The following is a 20,491-nucleotide window of genomic DNA, read 5'->3' on the forward strand; positions in this document are numbered from 1 at the left end:
GGCAAGGATTAGAGATGTGAGGAAAGGGGAGTAAGTAGCAAGAGGGAGATCTTTATGTTGATGGGATAATTCTGTACGTTGGTTGCAGTGGTAAATCTACACACATGATAAAATGACATAAAACTGTACACACACAACCCAAAGTCAATGTATTGGGTTTTGTGTGGTACCATAATTATAGAAGATGTGACCATTGGAGGAAACTGAGTGAAGAGTACACAGGACCTTTCTCTACTATCTTTGCCACTTCCTATGAATCTATAATTATTTCAAAATAAAAATTTAACAGAAGTAACAAAGCAGAAACCGATAGACCAAAAGAAAGTGATTTCACATCCAAACATATAATCAGCCCCCCGTACCCCCAAATCTCACATTTGTGAATTCAACCAAATACAGATCAAAAATTTCAGGAAAAATAATTTGTTAAATACAATGATTAAAAATAATACGAATTGTAAAAATACATAATATTATTTACATTATATAGCATGCTCTAGGTATTAGAAGTAATCTAGAGATGATTTAAAATATATGGGGGGATGTGCACAGGTTAGGTGCAAATACTAGGCTATTTTATATAAAGGACTTGAGAATCTGAAGATTTTGGTATCAGTCTCCTGGGATACCAGGGGATGGCTTTACCTGTTGAACCATTGACTTCTTACAACCCACTCTTTTCTAAAAAGGAAAAAATAATTTCTACTGTCTCATTGCTATTATGACTCAGGAACATTCTTCCATCATCTAGTTGCTGATTTTTCCCCTTATAAGTGTGGGGGAGGAAAAGGATGTGAGGCTGGAAGTGGAATAAGTGAAGATTTAACATGAACAATAAGCTTCATTCATTTTTAAGCACCATCTAGGGCCCTTCCCACCCAATATTTGTTGTGACCACTATAGGAATACAAGTGAAAGCTAGCAGCCAATGGCATATTCTTCTCCACCACCTGGAAATAGATGGGGAGAGGAGAGAAAGCAAGGTAAGTGGAGAGTAGGATTATAGATATGATAGTGACATAAACAAAGACATATCCATAGATGGATAGATGATTACTTAAGTGCTTTTTTGTTTTGCTTTTTTTTTTTTCTGCTTTTTTTTTTTAAGAGACGGGGTCTCGCTATTTTGCTCAGGCTGTTCTTAAACTCCTGGCCTCAAGGGATCCTCCCACCTTCACCTACCAAAGTACTGGCATTACAGATATAAACCACTGCACCTGGCTTATGCTAATGTTTTAAATATAAAAGCATATATACTGGGCATGGTGGCTCATGGCTATTATCTTAGCACTTTGGGAGGCTGAATCAGGAGAATCGCTTGAGCCTACGAATTAAAGGTTACAGTAAGCTGTCTTCACACCACGGCACACCAGCCTGGGTGTCAGAGTGAGACCCTGTCAAAAAGAAAGAAAGAAACAGAAAAACATTAGCATCAAGAGTTTTCTAACCCATGTTCAGCATATTACTATAACTTCTCCTATAACATTCTGACTTCCTATTTGTTTACAGGTTTTTGATGGGAGTGGATCATTTTTGTCCTACATTAACACATCTGCTGACCCACTCTATGGCCCCCAAGGCCTGGCCCTAACTTCAGATGGTCATGTTGTGGTTGCAGACTCTGGAAATCACTGTTTCAAAGTCTATCGATACTTACAGTAATGGTGGGCAGGTGGATACCCGCTTCCATGGTCTTGCACTATAAACTGGAATGGATTTCTCAATGCGGGACCAGATTATGACTAGAGTTTTTATGCCAGAAGGAATCATTGGTGAACTTTCCAAGGTTATTTCTGAATGTAACAATTTCCTTAAAAATGACTTATCCAATTTCTGTATTTCACCTTTAGGGTTAAAAAAAACTCTTCTACTGAATCTATAAAAACTGCAGTTTTACATCTGTGAACTATGGCTTAAGGGACAGGATTTATGTAGCTAAACTAATTTTGCAAATCAAACAGACACTTAAAAAACTAGCATATGTAAAGGTATTCGTTAATCCTGTGAATGGTAGCTTTTGCACAGAACTTCCAAAAGCAAAACAAAAACAAAATCTATTGTAGTTATATACTTCATTTAACCTAGGTCACAAGACCCAGGGAATCTTCTAACCTCACTTTTACAGTAGGTATTACTCTTGTGACATTTTTTTGGTTATCAACAACTAAATATAAATTACTTTGGAAAAAGTAAGGCTGTCTTGCAAAATGATCCCAGCTCTGATTAGCAGCCCTCTGGAGTTCAGAACTTAAGTATCAGTGCAAATTTCTCAACCTTTCTGGGTTAGACAAAGATCCTTTTTTGTGTGTTCTTTTCACCACCCCTTTGGCTCACCTTGTATCAGCAAACAAAGTACTTCTTCAGGGAAACCTGAAATTTCTAATGCCTTGAAAAGCATATTACAAAAGTAATGCTACCTTTTGGGAAACAAACTGCCCCGTTAACTCCAGATCATTGCACTGGAATGTAATCAAGAAAGTTAGTCATGTTTTATGTACCATGTTTTCACACGTGTCTCTTCTCTTCGACTTCCTGAAAGCGAAAGCTTTACCTCCTGCAAATGTCAGCACATGTAGTAGGACACCAGTATCCTAGGACAGAGAGCCATAAGTAGCCCTTTGGAGGACTGATGGTGTCAACCAAAGGCATGTGATTGATTAATGATTCCCCCTTAGAAAGCAAGTGTTACCAAAGTTGTGTTATCTTGAAAGCATTACAGGTAAGGGCATGTTATGGTTATTTATCATTGTTTAATGAATAGTAGAGGTGTCAAGGGACTATGTATACATGATTAGGGTAAGATAGAATGTATTATATATATATATATATACACACACACATATATATAGCTGAATCTTTGGTGTATTGAAATAGGCAGCACTCTGAAAGACAGAAGCTTCGTCCAGCCACTCTTCAGCACATTCCTTTACTAAGCAGTTTAAAGCCGTCCTAGTGGAGCAAGCCCTAAAGCAGATTTAATTTTTGCCATTTTCCAAGAATGACGGTGGTGGCTTTTAGTCAGAAAATGGCCTTCTGTGCTTTCAAAAAAAAAAACAAAAAAAAAACCACACACACACATAAAAAACCCAACAGGTCAAAATAAAAGTTGAACTTGAGTTACATTTAATTTAAATATAAATGCATTTTGAGAAATGTTAAGAACAATTTAGTCAATCGTTCATCTGTCATTGGTACTGTAAAATAAGCTGTGGTCTATTTCCACTGTTTAATTTTCTACTCAGTTCTACCAAATAGGATGTCATGTTTGACATTTTTGATAGTGACTTTGGGGTCTTCTTCACTGAAAGCACCTTAGAACTGTACTATAAGAAAACATTTCCCCTATGTATAATTATATGAATGTGATGTTTATTGCTTATTAATTTATAATTCAGTCATTCTCTATATAGGACTTCTTAAAATTTAGAAGGGAAATCTAGCTACTTCAAATTGTCTGTTAAATTTATTATGCCCAAATCAACCTCTGAAAAAAGGTTTTTCCAGGAAGATTTACATTTAGGTTTAATATTTTTTTAGTTAGGTAGAGTTTTAAAAAATACTTGAGCCTGTCCGTGATAAAGCTATAAAATTCAATAACTTTTTAGAATGTTAAATGAAGACACTGTTTCCTAACATCAGTGAGATACATCTTTGAATTTAAACATTCATATTTACTGAGTACCTACTAGGTACCAAGTACTCTTTTAGGCACTGGAAATACAGTGATGGACAAAACAGGTAAAAAATCGCTGCCCCCTCAGAGCTGACATTCTGGGGTGGGAATTTCATTTTGCCACGTACTAACGTTCTGCACAAAAGACAGGCTAGACTCTTGTCTAGATTGTTTAAAAGAAACTTTTCAAATTGGTTACATTAATTTTAGTTTATTTTCACAAGTAAAAATGGCTTTTTATTTAGATTCTTTCTGTCCCAGGCTGTTGATCTTAAAACTAGTTGATTTAAAGAGTTTTTTTGCACAACATTTCAATTATATTTGTGAACTTAGAAATTAACTTACAATCTAACCAGCCATCATATCATATCCTATCAGGCTAGATATCTCAATAGTAGACTGAATACAAAGCTAATTTTTTTTACATGTCAATATTGGCACAAACTGGAATGAAAGAATAGTTTGATTCAGACCTGCTCCACTATGTGTTGCTAAAACACATGCTATGAGCACTCCAGGAAACACTATATTTTTTCCAAAAAATATGTGATTATATATGTTAAAGTATAGATAACATTTCACACTTGGATACATATGTGCATTTACTGTATTTCTTGGTAAGCATATTTTTGGGGGAAAGTGCTGCTGATATGATACAAGTAGACAAAATTTAAATGAAATTTTGTCACATTCTATGGAAAATGGTTTCTGGTAAACTGAGAAGGATATTAAAATAAGTGGCTTTTTTCTGGGCTACCATTATTGTTTGATTTCTCTTTGTCAAGTGTATAGAACCTGTCATACATTCATGATAAGTAGCACTGAAAAATTACTCATTCAAATTTCCCCTGGGCACGTAAGGCAAAATATTGCCGGTTGGGATTTCAAGGTCAGTGACGACGCATTTCCTCCCAGTACAGACCCCCCAGCCCCCCTTGCTGGACATGGGGAGGCAGAGAGTCACTTGACCATCCAGAAATACATGACTACAAGTCCTTTATGACTGTTTGCCATTTTTTTTAATGGTACTTAGTATTTTGATCAAACTTTAGTCTCCAGAACTAAACAAGTCCCTAAGTTTCCTTATTTTAATTTACTGTGACTAGATTTGAAGCAAATAAATACTCCAGATCCATGCAGCTAGAACACACTTGCTTCCACTACTAAATATACAGGGTATGTCCTAACATGGAGTTAACTGGAATAGCAGTACACTAGCAAGTATCTGTGAATCCTTAGCACTGACGGGTTAACAGAAATGCTTTGGTAATACCTACTTAGTTAATTGGAGGAAGTAGTAAATAAACATTAGGTAATCTGCAGATTACTTCAAATGGGAAAAATCTTTTTGTAGACTCTATAGTACCCTCTCTATTCACTAGCTTCTGAAAAGGGAGGAGTATTTTTAGTTTGACAATTTAATAATTTAAAAACAAGACATCTCCAGGTAGGAAAAAATGAAAGCTATTTCATGCAAACATTATCTAATTTAGCTTAAAAGTGAAAGTGGTAATACTGTTGGTTTCTGTAAATGTTGCAGGGTTTTAAACTTTATAATTACTTTAATATTTTTGATAACTAGAAATCTAGTATTGCCATAAAGGAAACTAAGTGCCCATCAAAGATTTGTTTGGTATAAATAAAGAATTATTTGTTTTGTTTTCAATGACAGTAAGCTACAAATCATGATGCTTAAAAACTTTCTAAAGATGAATTGTGTGGCAGTGATTGGTCTGTTTGTGGAGAATGTATGAAAGCTATTAATATTCTAGAATAGATTAATAAATTGGCTATGTTGTTCCAATGAATGTACAGCACTTCCATTAACTTTTGAAAGCAACACAGCCTTAAACTCAATGCTTTTGCTTTATGACATGGGAATGTTCTGTCATCAATGGAGTGTATTCTTGTAATAGAATTCTTTATATCGTTCTCAATTCTATAGACTTTCAAGCCTATGTATGAATATGAAGGGGTTTTTTTTTTTTGCTTTGTTTTCTTTTTAGATTTTGTACATTCCATCTTTATAGGTCTGTTTCATATGTTTTATGTATAGAACACTAAGTCTTGCACTCTCTGACATTGATACTGATATATTCTCGTCATTTGTTCTTTTATGAATCAAAATGTTGACTGCCTATTTAAAGAAAAGAATGAACGCTGTGCATCAAAGTGTTTGTATGTTCGTAGCTACATACGTACCACAGTATTTTGGATGCTTTAGTCTACAATGAAACTTTCAATTAATTCTGTCTTGAAACATAGGAGAAACAGGATTCATGTGTATCTCTTTACCATGCACAAAATCTCAAATCATTATAATAAAGCTTGTTTTCTCCATTTGCAGAGTGAATATTTATTTATTTAATATTTCTCCATTTGCAGAGTGAATATTTATTTAATATATTCTCTGCCTGAAGGGAAATTGAGGAACATCCTGGAATCTGTGGAAGATAGCAATACTGCAACCAGACTATTTATACTAGTGAGGAAAAGCTCAAGAAAATTTTTGTTGGCTATGACATTAATAATCCATTAGTATTTAGGATGTATCTTAAGTAGGAATTTGGAAAATCCTGATACATACGTAGAACATGTACATTTAGAAAGTTATAGAAGTAGAACAACCTTACCAACCTTTTTTTTTTTTTTTTGAGACAGGGTCTGGCTCTGGCTCTGGCTCTGTTGTCCAGGCTAGAGTGCAGTGGTGTGATCATGGCTTCCTGCAGCCTCGACCTCCCTGGCTCAAGCAGTCCTTCCACCTCAGCCTCCCAAGTAGCTGGGACTATAGTCACTCACCAACACGCCTGGCTAATTTTTTAAATTTTTTCTAAGAGATGCGGTCACTACTTTGCCCAGGATGGTCTGAACTCCTGGGCTCAAGCAATCTCCTGCCTGGGCTTCCAAAGCGCTGGGATTACAGGCGTGATTGTGAACAATGACGGAACACAATAAAAATTCGTTTTGTTTTCTTGAGGGTTAAAAAAAATCCAGCATAGATGGAAACTCTGGAAGAGGTTACATGAGTCAGTCTTGGAAGGAGAGATGAAACAACAGAAATTAGGAAGACCTAACATGGAGCTAGGCATGGCGGCAGCGCCTGGAGTCACAGCTGCTTGGGAGGCTGAGGTGGGAGGATCACTTGAGCCCAGAAGTTTAAGACCAGTCTGGGCAACATAGTCAACAGACTGTCTCTTTAAAAAAAGACCAAATGTGACACTGCTGACGATGAACTGTAAATATTAATATTATTGAATTCTACTTCCATTCTTCATTTGTTTTTTCTTTTACCCAAGCAGGCCACCATCATGGGCTCCTTGGAGGTTTTCAGAATCAGAGAGAGGGTGGGTCCCTCCATAAGCCACTTGCATAGTTCAGCATATCTGAGATTGTCCTCCAGGAGCACATTTCACATGAAGCCAGATGCATCCCTTTCCAGAGGAGAGAACGAGTTCAGTTTTGCCTAAGGAGACTGGAAGGGCAAGTGGACATTTGATGTTCTACTCACTCTTCTGTCTGTTTTTCACTGTTAAAGTCACTGACCAAACAAACGTCTAAGCACCCTTGGTCCACCAGCCTTTTGGCTAGGTGGACGGGATACCGGGATGAATACTGAAGCCTGTACCCTCACAGAGCTTACAGCCTGCTTGGAGAAACAGACCAGATACTTACAGTACCATAAACTGCTGTATTCATTAGCAAATATTTACTGAGTGTAGAATGTTCAGGTACTATGCTAGTCTCACTAGGGAATAGCAGTAAACAAAAAAAGCTCCTCTTCTCACAGACTTTCATTTTACTGGGATGAAACAAATAACTGAATACATATAGAGCTAGCTACATAATTACAGAGCCTGGTGCAAAATGAAAATGCAAGGCCCCTTGTTCAAGAAGTATGAAAAAGACATTTTCCTTTCTTCTGTGGTGTCTCCACCAGTCACAGTGTTTTTTATTTGCTACTTAATGTTATACTCTCTTGGCCATAGGGATACTTGCTGGGTGAGTGTAGACCCACAGGCACCTGGAGTCACCCTGGAACTCAGACTCCCCCCAGGCTTGTGCTAAAAGAGGGCACCAGAACATGAGTTGTTCAGGGAATAACAAATAGTCTGATATGGCAAGACCACAGAATTTCTCAAGAAGAAATTACTGATGAGGCACCGTTATAAAGAGTATGTTACTGTGCCTGTTCTTAAGGAGTTTACATTCCAGATGGAAAGATTAAAAGAATAACTATAAAACAGGGAAAATTAAAGAGCCATGGAGAAGGGTTAATAAAGTATAATGGAAGTTCCATGTTATCACATAGCTGATGGGGACAATCCTCTTTATGCCTGTGTCCTAGCATAAATAGGAATAGCATTCCCTTCTGTTCTCAGAAGTGTCTCAGTTCGGATGATAAATTATATATTCACTAGACATCAGTCTTTCTCAACCTTTTTTCTCATTACCATTCCCATAAAGAACCTTTTTAGATGTTTTTTCCCTGTTCACAATGCCATCCCCAGTCCCATGAAATTTTAATACCAGAGATATACTGTACATCTGTTTATGTACTGAGAGCCACAAACCACTGGAGCACAAACCATCTAAGATCTTTTTGTCTCCCAGGAACCCATTTTGATGTCATCCCATTGAGAATGACGCCCTACCCAAATGACATGATTGCATTGTCATTTCTAACTCAGAAGCTGTGTTGTGACTGACAGGTTGATAATGTTTACTATTTCTTCCTTAAAATTTTGTTAAATAAGCAGGCGGCCATTGGCTTGAAGCTGTCTCCACACTTTGAGTTCCTACCTAAGGAATTGTAAGGAACTGCAACCTAACGTGGTACACAAACTGAAAACCAAGCATGGTGTGTAACAAACCCCCAATTCTCAGCCAATCACAAGTAGCTGAGCTTCAGCCCACAGGCTGCCGACAGTGGCCAAATAATTCAAACAAGGAGCTGTAATCAGTCAAGCTATTTCTGTAACTCACTTCCCTTTTCTGTCTATAAAAACTTCCTGTTGGCTAGGCATGACTCACACCTGTAATCCCAATACTTTGGGAGGCTAAGGCAGGAAGATTGCTTGAATCCAGGCGTTCTAGACCAGCCTAGGCAACATAGGGAGACACCATCTCTATGGAAAATTTTTAAAAAATTAGCCAGGCATAGTTATGCACATCTGTAGTCCCAACTACTTGGGAGGGCAAGGCAGGAGAATCCCTCGAGCCCTGGAGTTCTAGATTGCAGTGAACCATGATTGTGCCACTGCACTCCAGCCTGGGTGACAGAGTGAAACCCTGTCTCAAAAAAACAAAACAACAACAACAAAAAACCTCTCTGGCCACGTTGCCGAGAGGAACTCATTTGTCTAAAGTTTTTCTTTTAAAATTTTCTCCTCTCTTGGTTTTGCATTCTCCTACTTCTTTTCCTACATTGCAGACTTTTTCCTCAGTCTCTTCCAAGTGACTTGACTTTGTTTTCCTATTTCCTTTATAAGCTCCTCCTGCCAGGCACGGTGGCTCACGCCTGTAATCCTAGCACTTTAGGAGGCCAAGGCGGATGGGTCGCCTGAGACTGGGAGATCGAGACCAGCCTGGCCAACATGGTAAAACCCCATCTCTACTAAAAATACAAAGATTAGCCGGGGGTGGTGGTGGGCGCCTATAATCCCAGCTACTCAGGAGGCTGAGGCAAGAGAATCGCTTGAACCTAGGGGTTGGAGGTTGCAGTGAGCCAAAATCATGCCACTTCACTCCAGGCTGGGCAAAAGAGCGAAACCCCAACTCTAAATAAATAAATAAGCTGCTCCTATAGGTCATGCTTTTCAGAATGTCAAGGAAGGGGCATCAGAAGGTTATCTGAAGTTTAAGGTATTTGTACTGAAAATGCAAAGGAACCAGAGGCAGTAGAATGTGTCTTCTTTCCTAGGTGGCGGTGATTCCCAGGTCTGGTTGATCAAGACTGCAATGCACAACAGGAACCTCAGAGAACTGTCACAGCAGCTCTCAGTGACACTTAGGATACAGATGCAGCTTAAGTGACCCTTTTTTATATCCATTTAGCACTCATTTTTCCCAAAAGAAGACCTGTTTGGGTCAATTTGTTACTGTCCCAGGGCAGGCTTTTGCACTGTGTCGCTTTAGAGGCAGGGGCGGAGGAAAACTTGGGACTGTAACATCAGTACTGCACAAAGCCCTCTTCCGTATACAGCATAAGCACTATTCTATAAAATCCCCAGCAAGCCTTTGTTTCCTTGCAGTCAGCTCCTTTTCTGCTGATTCTGCCCATTGCTCCCTTGCAACGTATTTTCATGCTTTCTCTAATGATTCTGCCTTTCTTTACTTACAACTGCCTTGGTAAATTTTTCTGCCACAGCGCCACTGGCCTCAGATAGTCACCACTCACCTGCAACAAGCCTGAGAGCCAATTAAGACAAGGCTTTCCCCAAGTAGCACAAATGTATATACCACTACTGTAGTTACTTAATGTACTCATTTATCATTTTAAAATTACCTTATGTACCATCAGTTACATGGTATAACTCTTACAGGAAAAACCAAATTAATGGAACTCTGCAATTCAATGTACCCCTTCCTCTGCCTCCAGCAGAAGCAACAGGGGACATAAATTCCAACTTTAGATGCTACTCTTATAGCATCTACAAGACTTACTACACTGTGTGTGTGTGTGTGTGTGTGTGTGCGTGCGTGTGTGTGTGTTACAGAGTCTCACTCTGTCGCCCAGGCTGGAGTGCAGTGGCGGGGTCTTGGCTCACTGCAACCTCTGCCTCCTGGGTCCAAGCGATTCTCCTGCCTCAGCCTCCCGAGTAGCTGGGATTGTACAGGCGTCCGCCACCACGCCTGGCTAATTTTTGTATTTTTATTAGAGATGGGATTTCACCATGTTGGCCAGGCTGGTCTCAAACTCCCTACCTCAAGTGATTTGCCCGCCTCGGCCTCCCAAATTGCTGGGATTACAGGTGTGAGCCACAGCGCCCAACCGTACTTCTTACACCTAAAAATGGTTCAAAACACCATAGAATAATTTTCAAAATAATTGAATTCTGAGTTAAAATTTTTCAGCACTTTCAGGGGCCTGAGCTTTTGCTATGAATCTGGATCTATTCTCAAGCCATGAAGTAGCGTATTTTTGACCATGTTGATTTGAAATTCATTCCGTTGTTTCCTTCTTTTTTAAAACCTAAGGGAAAAACAAACAGACATACACAGGATTTGAAAAGCTGGAAAGCAGTGGGTAGCGGCTCGGGAGAAGATGAGGGGTCAGATTAGAAGACGAGAAAGGAATCCAGTCCGCCCCAGACAGGACAAGTCCGGAAGGATGGAGGCAGCGTTTCCTTCCTCAACAGCCTAAACGCCTCTATTTTTTACATCCAAACTTAGGCCATATTTCTGCGGCGCCAAGAAAACGCAGTAAAAGCAAAGGCAAGATGTCCTTAAAAAAAAAAAAGGTCACATTCACAGAATACCGAGGAGACGGAGGCAGCTCTGCAACCCGTCCACTGAGACGCGGACACGCTCCCCACAGCCCCGGCCCCAGGCCCGCGCCCCTTCCCCCGCCGGCGGCTCGGATGGGTCGCTAGGGGTCGCTGCGCGCCGCGCGGGCGAGGACCGGCCTCTTTCCCCCACCTCCACCGTCTCGCTGCTCCGCCCCCGCGGCGTAGTCGGCGCCAAAATCAAACGCGTCCTGGCCTGTCCCGCCCCTCTCCCCAAGCGCGGGCCCGGCCAGCGGAAGCCCCTGCGCCCGCGCCATGGTAAGGACTGAGGCTACGGTCCCGCGTCTTCTTCCTCCCTAGTGTGTGGGCTTCGCCGCCCCTCGGCTGCATGTGGATCCCGGCCTGGCGTTGACCGCCATTCCGGGCCGCGGGAGCGGTCGCCCGGCTCTCGGCCTCACCGTGTAGGGGCCCAGCCCGGCCCCGCCGCAGCCACTCCGCACTCTGCGGCGTTCCCCGCCGCTCCTGTCCGGAGTCCCGAGGCGCGGGGGCATCCGCGGCCTCCCCGCCGGCTGCACCCCGCGTCTGTCCCCAGGGCCCGTTCGGGCGGGTTAGGTTAGAACGCGGGAAGCGTTCGCGAACGTGACCCGAGAACTTCACCAACCTGGATTTATCTAAAAGACCACGGGGCCCTTGAGAACCTGGGCTCCCTACGCCTCCAGCTTCGGCCCCGCGTGGTGTAGCCCCCCCCATTAAGAACGGGGAGAGAAAGCGCAAGTGGGCGGGAGGGACTGCGGGGAGCGAACGTCTTGATCCCAAAGCGCACTCCTGGTTTGTCACCATTGAGTGGTTTTCTGTATTGTAATATGTAGAGCACATTCCAGAACTGCTCAGTTTCGAGTTACCTAATGGATCTTCACTGTGTGCCAATTAGTCGATTTCTGTGAAAACGCCCCGGTTTCTGCCAAAGGGCAGGAGTCGCTGCTCTTGTGCCGGGTGCTGCTGGTTGTGTAGGGCGCTGTTGCTTTTTTAAGGACGCTCTGCACTGAATTAGGCTTCCTCGTGGGTCATGATCAGTTAAGTCCTGGTAAGATCGGCTTTGTGAGCTTAACGTCTTTCTGCTCATCAAATCATTTTCATAAACCTTCAAAGTTTCATGCCGTTTTTTCTGCTTCAGTTGGCGAAGAATCAACATCTGGTTAAATGGATCTAAGATTTTAATATCTTCATTTACTTACGTGGCCGTTAAATGTTGCCGAGCTAAGGGGGGCAGGGTGGGACACCAGGATCCAGTTGTATGGTATTTATTTGAAGATATTTGTCCAGATGTAGTTATAAATGATAACGGCTTCTTTGTGGTTAAACTAACAACCCAGCCACCTGGGCGTGAAGTGCTCTAAGGAGCCAAACAGGACTACAGTTAAAACAAATCTGTTAGCAGTGCCCTTCTGTGTTACAATTTTTCTCTGCAGAGTTGCTGGCCTCGTATAACTGACTTGGAGAACTGTGCAGCTCAAACGCGCGTTGTCCTTTTACCTAATCTATCTCTCTACACATGAATCACCTGCTAATACTAAATGTGTTAACTCTTTAGAAGCTTACCTCCGATAATAGAGAATCCTTTTAAAAAATTAAAGCTTTTGATAAGATGTGGACTTCCTATTTTTTAATATGTGATCGAGAAATAAATTTAGTGTTGGTCAAAGGTAAACTTTTGATTGATTATGAATTAATAGCTGTTTTCATTTGGTTAGGCATCCTAAGTAAATAGTTAATGAGTTCAGGCAATTTTTGAAATTGGAGAAGTGCAGTGCTGAACTCTGAGAGCAGCAGTGATGTCTACTTAATAATTCTTCATAATTTTATCGTAATTGATTAGTAGGGCTGGCTGTAGGAATTCCATAACTTCTAACTGAGAAGGTTCCTCAGATAACATGATTTTTTAAGTGGTTTAAAATACTTCCAGAAAGCTTCATAGTCCTTGAGTCAGGTTTTGAGTCTCCTGACTTACTAATTTGAATGCATCTCTAACTTATACTATCAGGTTTTTCCTAGTCTTAATTAAATATTAGATAAATCCTCATTGATTTTTTTGAGAAGTTTCTAAATATGAGTATTAATATGGCATCTTTTTACATTAGTTATTTTAATTCTGGCTATGATACTCCTACTGTGGTTAATAATAGAAATTATTTCTAGTCATGAAAGAGACTGATGAATAAATCAGCCTGAAAACAAGGTAAATGGATGATACAGCTCATCCACATTTCTTGAGTAACTTTCATAGCTGCTGAGCTGAGTGTTGAGAGCTTTCCTAAAACTGGGTACCCCAGGACGCTAGATTCTCCTCATTGCCTGCCTCTGGGGGGCAGATTCTTGTGGAGTGCAAGGAGCTGTTTCGAATATCAAAATGTTAGGAGTCTTTCCTAACACTTCAGGATCTGCTTTCTGCTAGTGCAGCGACACACTGAAATTCTAAAGGGATTCCCATTGCCCCGCAGCGCCCTTGACATGGCCTTCAGATTCTGGGCTGACAAAAGTAGGGTTCTCAACCCTGGGGCACAATTAAAAAATATGTTGGAGAGGATTTTTAAAATAAGTTGGAGGATTTAAAAAATATGTTGCCCAGGTCCCATTCCAGAGATTTTGATTCCATTCATTAGAGATGAGCCTGGGCATCGGTATTTTTTAAAAACTCCTGAGGTGATTCTAATGTATGGCAGTTTAGGACCTATTGGACTAGAAAAATATGTTGAAGGAGTCTTCTAACTGTTATGAATTTCATGCTTGATTTGTCAGATACTGCAGAGGTGAGAATGAAGGGAGGCAAATAGAGCAGTCCTGGACCCTAGCTCTCAGCCCTAGGTTTAGTGAGCAGATCTGTATGGGTTCCTGGAGTTTGCCTAACTGAGATTTCTCTGATTTGTCTCTTCAAGCCAGGCAATACATGATGTCACTGAATTCACTATGATTAATTCACCTGTTATATCTATGGGAGTATGGTAGGTGTTGGGGGGCTTAGGAGCCTGAGCAGCCTCAAATTTTAGAGTTGGGGGCTTTAGATACATGGTCCTAAAATTAAGAGCTTTATGTCTCCCTTGTCTAACTTGGCACTAAGCCCTGGAAAGGCAAAGGCAGTTCATGTTCTGAAGAAGTTTTTCAGTGTGCTGATACGGACAAGTAAACATCTTTTCAATGTAGTGAGTGATTTGATGAAGGTGTGTTCTGGGAATACATGCTTAGCCTGTGAACTCAGGGAAGTTCTGGAGGGAGAGTGCCTAAACTAAGCCTTGGGAGATGTTTTGGAGTTTTGACTAGGCAAGAAGTGAGGATGTTCTAGGTGGAGGAACATTTTTTTTAAGGATGGAAATGAGAGCATTCTTCGAGTAGATAATTACAGGCAGTTTTTGTATTACAAGTTGCTTAGGTCTCCATACTGTTAATGGCAAAGTTTGAGGTGGGGTGTGGTGGAAGAGGCTATAAAAGGTAGGTTGGGGTTAGGTGATAAAGGGCCTTGTATATCATACTGGGGTACTCAGAAACGTCTGGATGTCTGGGAGCCACTGGAGGGTTTTGAGCAAGGCAGGGAAAAAGGTCTTATTTATGTTTTCCCAGTGCGGAATGTGAACATAGAGGGTGAGTCAAAGTGTGGTTAGGGGACTGGAGGTATATTGCAGGAGATAGATGATGAAGGCCTGAATGAGGCAGTGGTAGTAGAGATAGAACAGACAGGACAGATAAGAGAAATAATTAAATGCTGAAACTGGCAGAACTTGGTGATTGGTTGGATGTGAGATAAGGAGGTGAAGGTACCTAGGATGACTGTCAGGCCTCTGGCTTGGGTCACGAGATAGTATCTGAGACTCAAGGTCTAGAACAGCAAGTTTGTGGGGAGTAGGTATGAGAGAGGAAGAGTTCAGTTTAGACTGACGGAGTTGAAGTTTGTCCAGCAGGCGGGTAGATGCATGACACTGAAGCTCAGGAGCACACCCAGGGGTGAATGTAAAGATTTGAGGTCTCAGCATAAGTGTTAATTAAAACCATGAAAGCAAATGAGATCAAAGATAAGATATTAGGAGATGGGATCAGTAGCCAAACCCAGCAGAAAAACAGTGTTTGAAAGTGGACCGAGGAAGAAGAGAAAAATATAAACTTTAAGCTATTTATTTACCCATATTACTCATCAAGAAACACCTGATCATTTTATTCCTGTGGGAATGAGTTAGTGGGTTGTTGTTTTTTTTTGTGTGTGTGGGCTTTGTTTTGTTTTGTTTTGAGACAGTGTCTTGCTTTGTTGCCCAGGCTGGTCTCAAACTCCCAGCCTCAAGTGATCCTCCAGCCTCAGCCTCCCAAAGTGCTGGGATTACAGGTGTGAGCCACCGCCCAGCCAAGTTAGTGGGTTTCTAGGTTTTACAAGAATTAAGACTCACTCACTCCAGTATGTAGCCAGAATGGCAATTCCAAATCCTTGTCTTCACTTATGTAAACTCACGTTTTCTGATGATGTTTTTGGTTGGATGGGGCAGTCTTTAACTGTTGTTTTATGTCTGCTTTTTAAGCAAACAATTTATATTCCTTTATAATCCCCTACAATTTTTGAGAAAGATGCAGATCACATAAGAAATATTAGTGTGGAGTTTTTTTATTAGAGAACTGGAGGTGATAGTTCTCACTCTTTTTTTTTTTTTTTTCTGTAAACCTTTGGTTTGGAGGAAATTTGGCTCCTTTCTCTTTTAACTTAGGATTTAGCTTTATATATTCTATGTACAATATATTGTAAAATTTATTATTAACATATATTTCAGCTACATATTGTCTTAATTTCAAGTTGGCTAAAGGGTATTACAGAAGAATAACCTGAGTGGGCTTCCATTTTCTACTTGGATAGGCCTTTCCCCCTTCCATCTTCTCTTCCACATTGCTGCTATAATTAACTTAACGAAAATGCAACTCTAATCTTGTCACTAGTCTGCTTTAGAAATTACTCAGCAGCTCCTCATTGTCTAGAATGAAGTCCACTGTCAGCTGGACAGTCAGCTTTCCATAACCTGACCCCACACCTTTCTCATCCCATCTGCCAATCCCCCTACATACTTCATACAATAACTGTCCCCCACTGCTTATCCTTCTGGGGAATTCCATGTACTTCCATAACATTGTGCCTGTGTGTGGTCTCCCCAAGATGTGCTTCTAACCATTTCTCAATTTGCCAAAATCCTTTTAATCTCTGTCCTTAGGTAACCCTTCTTCCTCTGCATAGTGGAATTCATTGTGTTCTGGGTATTTATGTAACAATTGGTGCATGTAGCTGTTCATTAGCTATAAATAGTTGCATCTATATATTTTCTCTGAGAGATTGTAAGCCTTTGGAAGGTCAATACAGTGGCTTATCATTGGTTTACTTTATAAATGCTGAATTTCTACAAAATGCCAGGCTCTGCCTCAATTTACAGTTACCATCTTGGCAGCACCTACCACAGTGGTTGGCAGATAGTAATTAAAATGAGTCTTTAGGTCTGACTTTGAGAGTATCAAACCTGTTGGCATCAGATAAGACCATGCATAAAATTTCAAATGTTGCAAATCCAGTTGTTTTCAAAATGTGTTTAAAAGCATTGTTTACTTGTTAATTTTTTTGCTTTAGTCAAAGAAAAAAGGACTGAGTGCAGAAGAAAAGAGAACTCGCATGATGGAAATATTTTCTGAAACAGTAAGTCATTTTCTTTAACACTTATAATTTTGTGTAATTTTCATCTTAAGTATATGTCATCCAATGTTAACTGTCCCCTCTTTGTTAAACATCAATACTGATCAATTTCTTGAAGAATGGGTAAGATTCTGCAAATATTTGTGGTTCCTGTGAGTTATGGAGTGTGAAAAACCATATCCCACTGTTGGTAGAGTCTCTTTCACCCAAGCAGTCCTGCATACTGGCACCAGAATCTTCTGATGCATATATTTGATTATCTCCTCTTTCTGCCTGAAAAATAATAATGATGAAAGCCCACATCTCCTGAGTGCTGCCTAGGTGCCAACCAGTCTTGGATCTCAAACAATAGAAGCCATAGTTCCAGGATTCAAACCAGGGAGGATCATTTGATTTCAGAGGGAGTACCAAATACTATGTCTTTGCATTTTAAGTCTGTCTATAGTGTAACACACAGTCGATGGTACAGAGGCCTTCATTTATTCCAGATATTTGTGCCTGCCATCAACAGGAAATATGTTTAAAGTTTCATCTCCTAAGTGAAGAGCCAGAGTTCAAACCCAGGTACCTGGCTCTACAGCCTACTGTCTCATGGCTTTACACTGTTACTGGAAGGCTTTTCTATGTCTTCAGGTTAAAGGCCACATAAATCTTTGACCTAAAAGAACACCGACTTCATATGGCTTGGCAGGACCTACAAAGCCTAGTTGGCCCCAGTCTACTGGCTATTTTCATCATATACAAATGTGAAGAAGATGGGGAAAAGTGGTAGAATTGAATATTAAATTGATAAAATCCCTTTTCACTTTAAGGCAGATTCTTAGTAAAAAAAAAAAAAAAAAACAAACAAAATACACGGGATTTGCCCACTAAGTATAATCTTATTGTTCTTAAAAGTCATTGGCAATTCAGAACAGGGTGTCATATTATGATGATGATATGGTTACAAAGATAAATTGGTGAAGTCTCTATGTGAAAATTATAGCAATTCTTCTGCTGAGTTGAAATATTTTTCCTATGGTCTCAGCAAGAAAAGTAAGTTTAATTCCTTCAAGACAGTAGAAAGCTGAGGAGAGTGGTTGGGGAAATTATTTTGTCATTTACAATATTATTATCTCAAATATAAAAATTGGCTGTTTCTAACTGAAAAATTTTAAACCTTGTCCTTAGTAACATCAAAACATGAAAGACTCTGAGGATCAGCAGTTTAAGGAAGTTCAGTAATTAGTGAGGTTTTCCATAAAGCTGGGAATTAATTGTACTGATTGATTTATTTCATATATTCCTGTTTCTTTTTTTCATTATAGCCTAATCAGTTGCTGCTCATTTAGTCTATCAGTTTTTTGACGGAATTGAAAAGTATAAGAGATTTGGGAAAAGTAATGGAGGCCATTTCATTTGTTCTTTCATGAATGGAATATGGTATATCCGGGATCCAGACTGATGTCAAAAGTTGATGAATATTAGATTTGCTTCAACATCTCAAAGCAAATCGCCAATAATGGTGCAAAGTGAAAAGCATGGATTCTGGAATTCAGATTCAGGAATTTGGATTCTAATTTCGTTGTTGCAATTGGCAAGTAAAAATTCCAACAAAATCAAATATGGCTACTCAGGATTTGTTACAGAATTTGATTTTCTATAGATGTCAATAGTAGCCCCCTTTTCAAGACAAATGTCATGGGAAAATGCTTATAATTTAATGTTAAGTAGAAAATGTAGAATATAAAAAACAAGACATGATGACAAATATTAACAATGGTAAGATACAGGGGGATTTTGTTTTACACTCTTTTCTTTGTTACCTATAGTGAACAAATTTTAAATCAAATTAGAAAATCAACTAATGAAGCAGCATATACTATATTGCCTCTAATCATAAGTGGGCTGTCTGTGAGGTTTTGGAAACCTTTTAAAAACACAGTCATTGGTAATAATGACAACTCATAGAGAGGGTAGGAACCTTCAGGGACTGTTTGAGGCACAAAATAGGCCACCAATAAATGTGTTGAGCTTTTTAAAAAATTACTTCAGCAAACACTTAAATGAGTAGCTTTCCATTGGCACACAGATCTCTGGAATGGCCATGCTTATGCCCAGATAATTTAATATAAATATGTAAATGGAGAAAAAGAGACATAGACATGATCATGTATGGATGGATATATATGTGCGTGTGTGTGTGTGGGTTTTGGAGCTGCTAATGTAATAAATTATTTGCCCGTTGCACTTAGGAAGAACATGAGAACAGTATAGCTCAATAACTGAAAGCTTGCATCTGGAACCTGTTTCACTCAATAGCTTCGTGACCTTTAAGCAAGTTACTTGACCTCTCTATGTCTGTTTCTTCATCTCTTAAAGAAGATGATAATAGTACCCAGTTCACAGTGTTGGTATGGGGATTAAATAAGATAATATGATTAAACAATGCCCAGGTCGTAAGTGCTTTATTAAATGTTATCTAGGGCCAGGTGCCACGGCTCACACCTGTAATTCCAACATTTTGGGAGGCCAAGGCAGGAGGATCTGTTGAGCCCAAGAGTTTGAGGTTGTAGTGAGCCATGATCACACTCTGTCACTCAGGCACTCTAGCCCAGGTAACAGAGTGAGACCCTATCTTAAAAAAAAAAAAAAAAAAAAAACACAACGATATTATCTAGGATTATATGTCTTCCATGGTACCTTACACATAGTTCTTTTTACACTTTCTTCATCCCTCCTTGATTCTCTCTGCTTAATGCTGGGGAGTCTAAGAACTAAGATTTACTTGAGATCATTTGCTCTGTCCACTTCAATGACCGCACTTGAGTTCTGAGGCTACTTCTTTCCAAGCCTGTTTATTTATGCAGCAGCCCCACTGGGGCAGCCAGTACATCTGGAGCTCTTCCTTGGTGCCTGCATTTAGGCAGATATCTCAGTGGTTCATGTTCTTTTTCTAGGGAATTTAAAGTATTTGCAAAGAGGTTTGATTAACTGTTTTTTCTAATGCATTAAAGACTTAAAGTCAGTAATTTATTACATGTTCCCTGAGATTCTAAAGTATTATGTTTAAATAATTTATTCCTCGATGAGCAAAAATTGATCTCATACTCGCACTAAGTTCAATGACTTAATATTTTCCTAAATTTGCGAACTCTTAGGTGTAGTGAGATGAAATTTTTTCAACATTTTATTATGAAAATTTTCAAACATACAGCAAAGATGAGTTTTTCAGTGAATACCCATATGCCTACCACCTAGATTCTACCATTCACATTTTATTCTACTGACTTTATCACATATATATATATATATATATATATATATATATATATATATATATTCATCTATCCACTTATCTCTCCATCAACTCTTTTTTATGTACTTCAAAGGAGTTCTTTATATACGTATATCCTGGGTAGCACGCCTTTTTCAGGCATATGTTTTGCGATTATTTTAATCTAGTTGGTATTTGTCGTTTCATTTTCTTTATAGTGCCCTTGGATGAGTATAAATTTTTATGAAGTATAATTTCTATCTAATTGCAATTGCCTTTTCAAGTTTTTTTTGGAAGAACTGTATCCCAATTTTTTCATAACAATAATCAAAATATTTCTAGGTTTTTTTGTTCTTATTGTTTTGTTTTGTCTGTTGCCCAGGCTGGAGTGCAGTGGTGTGATCTTGGCTCAC

The 20,491-nt window shown here is 39.6% G+C and overlaps 2 protein-coding genes across 39 annotated transcripts in view, besides 4 other annotated features; both read left to right on the top strand.

Annotated features, from left to right (window-relative positions):
- TRIM2 (tripartite motif containing 2) overlaps positions 1-6,013 on the top strand; it is a 187,155-nt gene extending 181,142 nt beyond the window's left edge. For all 33 annotated transcript variants that reach the window (NM_001375517.1, NM_001375514.1, XM_011531796.4 and 30 more), the window contains one exon: positions 1,510-6,013. In NM_001375517.1, coding sequence (NP_001362446.1) covers positions 1,510-1,662 — 153 coding nt within the window. In that variant the 3' untranslated portion in view covers positions 1,663-6,013. The remainder of the gene's footprint in view (positions 1-1,509) is intronic.
- Positions 11,153-11,462: a silencer, noted in NCBI's record as "silent region_15757". NCBI's record gives its function as "represses an Ori minimal core promoter by ATAC-STARR-seq in GM12878 lymphoblastoid cells {active_cell/tissue: GM12878}" and the evidence as "EXISTENCE:reporter gene assay evidence [ECO:0000049][PMID:35858748]".
- The window catches only part of MND1 (meiotic nuclear divisions 1), a 70,470-nt gene continuing 61,323 nt past the window's right edge, over positions 11,345-20,491 (top strand). For 4 of the 6 annotated variants that reach the window (XM_005263275.3, NM_001253861.1, XM_047416247.1 and 1 more), the window contains exons 1-2: positions 11,345-11,436; positions 16,760-16,825. In XM_005263275.3, the coding sequence (XP_005263332.1) occupies positions 11,434-11,436; positions 16,760-16,825 (69 nt within the window). In that variant the 5' untranslated portion in view covers positions 11,345-11,433. The remainder of the gene's footprint in view (positions 11,437-16,759; positions 16,826-20,491) is intronic. The other 2 variants (NR_045605.2, NM_032117.4) reach the window with 1 other exon arrangement.
- Positions 11,593-11,752: a silencer, noted in NCBI's record as "silent region_15758". NCBI's record gives its function as "represses an Ori minimal core promoter by ATAC-STARR-seq in GM12878 lymphoblastoid cells {active_cell/tissue: GM12878}" and the evidence as "EXISTENCE:reporter gene assay evidence [ECO:0000049][PMID:35858748]".
- Positions 12,233-12,292: an enhancer, noted in NCBI's record as "active region_22051". NCBI's record gives its function as "activates an Ori minimal core promoter by ATAC-STARR-seq in GM12878 lymphoblastoid cells {active_cell/tissue: GM12878}" and the evidence as "EXISTENCE:reporter gene assay evidence [ECO:0000049][PMID:35858748]".
- Positions 12,373-12,492: an enhancer, noted in NCBI's record as "active region_22052". NCBI's record gives its function as "activates an Ori minimal core promoter by ATAC-STARR-seq in GM12878 lymphoblastoid cells {active_cell/tissue: GM12878}" and the evidence as "EXISTENCE:reporter gene assay evidence [ECO:0000049][PMID:35858748]".

This window comes from Homo sapiens, chromosome 4 (genome assembly GCF_000001405.40).
Source record: "Homo sapiens chromosome 4, GRCh38.p14 Primary Assembly".
In the NCBI taxonomy this organism is placed as follows: Eukaryota; Metazoa; Chordata; class Mammalia; order Primates; family Hominidae; genus Homo; species Homo sapiens.